Genomic DNA, 1,519 nt, shown 5'->3' on the forward strand with positions numbered 1-1,519 from the left:
TTTTAAAAAAGGCTCATCAGTATTACTGATGGTAATGTAAACAATGTAAACTATACTTTTATGACTTAGCAATTATTTAGTAACTTCACTCATAATATGGTGAAGGAAGTATTGCAACATACAGAACTACTAAGCATATTTCATATATATTGACACATCTCTAATTTCAATAAGATAGTATATAAACTTAGAAAACATTAAATTATAGCTTCAGTTTGGTACAGTTTTAATACCATGTTTTAAGAGTCAACTACTAACTTTAATTTTTCAGCTTTTCTGTTTTGCCAAACATGTTAAATACTTAGAGAAAGTAAATAAATATAATTGTATACTCTCTCAATTACTGAGACAGTGGTTAAGATAGGCCAAGTATCATGCTAAAGAGATAAAAGGATTAATCACTGACTTCAGGAAGTACCTGCTGTAGTGCAAGAATCATTATTGAATTTTAATAATTATAAATCTAAAAATCATTTAACAATTATATATCATTAAAATTGGTATCTCTGTGACAAGAATCCCATACTTCAATGACTTTTTTCCTCTTGCTTGTTTGGACAACAACTACCTCCTTTTTTTAATCTCACTAAAGCTTTCAAAATTCAGTGCTCACATTGATTCCTTTGGACATGTTTTCTGACCTCATCGAAGACCTGGTGACCTATATATGTCCCTGAACACTATATTAACCTTTTCCACAAGATGTAGGATATTGGAGTAGTGTGTGCCTCTGCTAACACAATGCCAACAGAGAAAAGACATAGGAGAGATGTTTTTTCTGTGAAAACTATACCTACACAATACAAATGTTTGGGTGTTTGTGTGTGTGCAGAAATTGTTTTCATTTACCACATACTATCAATGTCTTGATTAAAACAATCTATTGACTACAGTAGAAAGAGATCCATACCACGTTTCATGGCTCATTGAGCCGATATTATTTTTCCCTAGCTCCGTATAAAACCCTTTGTTGTTTTCTTCAGTCCTAACAATGTTTTTTTTTCCATCTCTTTTCCCCCGGTTGTTTGAAAATTTCAAACCACGGCCCTCTTTGGAAATTTGTACAAATGTTTTCTCAAAGTGCACAATGCTCGCATATGTTCATGCCTGATTGTTCATTATTCACATCACAGCTTAAAATATGTCATCTTAAGAGAAGACATTCAGAGCATTTGTTCTAAAATAGCCGTCAAACCTTTTTTAGTCTCTCTCTATGCCACTGCCCCACGTTTCCATTTTTGGTAACATCTGTTCTAGGTTTTAAAATTACCTTACTCAATTTAAAAAAAAAAAAATAGAGTCTATTTGCACCAGTTAGAATGTAAGTTTTGAGAAGGCCAAGTCCCCAGTGTTTTGTTATGAAGTAAATGTTCAAGGAATATGTGCTTGTGGGTGCATGTATGTGTATGTTTATTTTGAATGACTCACCTTTTGACTCAAAAAATAAATATGTGGCCGGGCACAGTGGCTCATGCTTGTAATCCCAGCACTGTGGGAGGCCAAGGTGGGCAGATCATTT

At 33.5% G+C, this 1,519-nt stretch overlaps 1 annotated feature.

Moving 5' to 3' along the window:
- Positions 684-853: an enhancer, noted in NCBI's record as "experimental_78156 CRE fragment used in MPRA reporter constructs". NCBI's record gives its function as "activates a minimal promoter by MPRAs in K562 erythroleukemia cells, with activity observed for both the introgressed and non-introgressed 4:30209882 variant alleles {active_cell/tissue: K562}" and the evidence as "EXISTENCE:reporter gene assay evidence [ECO:0000049][PMID:34662402]".

Source organism: Homo sapiens, chromosome 4 (genome assembly GCF_000001405.40).
Source record: "Homo sapiens chromosome 4, GRCh38.p14 Primary Assembly".
Lineage (NCBI taxonomy): Eukaryota > Metazoa > Chordata > Mammalia > Primates > Hominidae > Homo > Homo sapiens.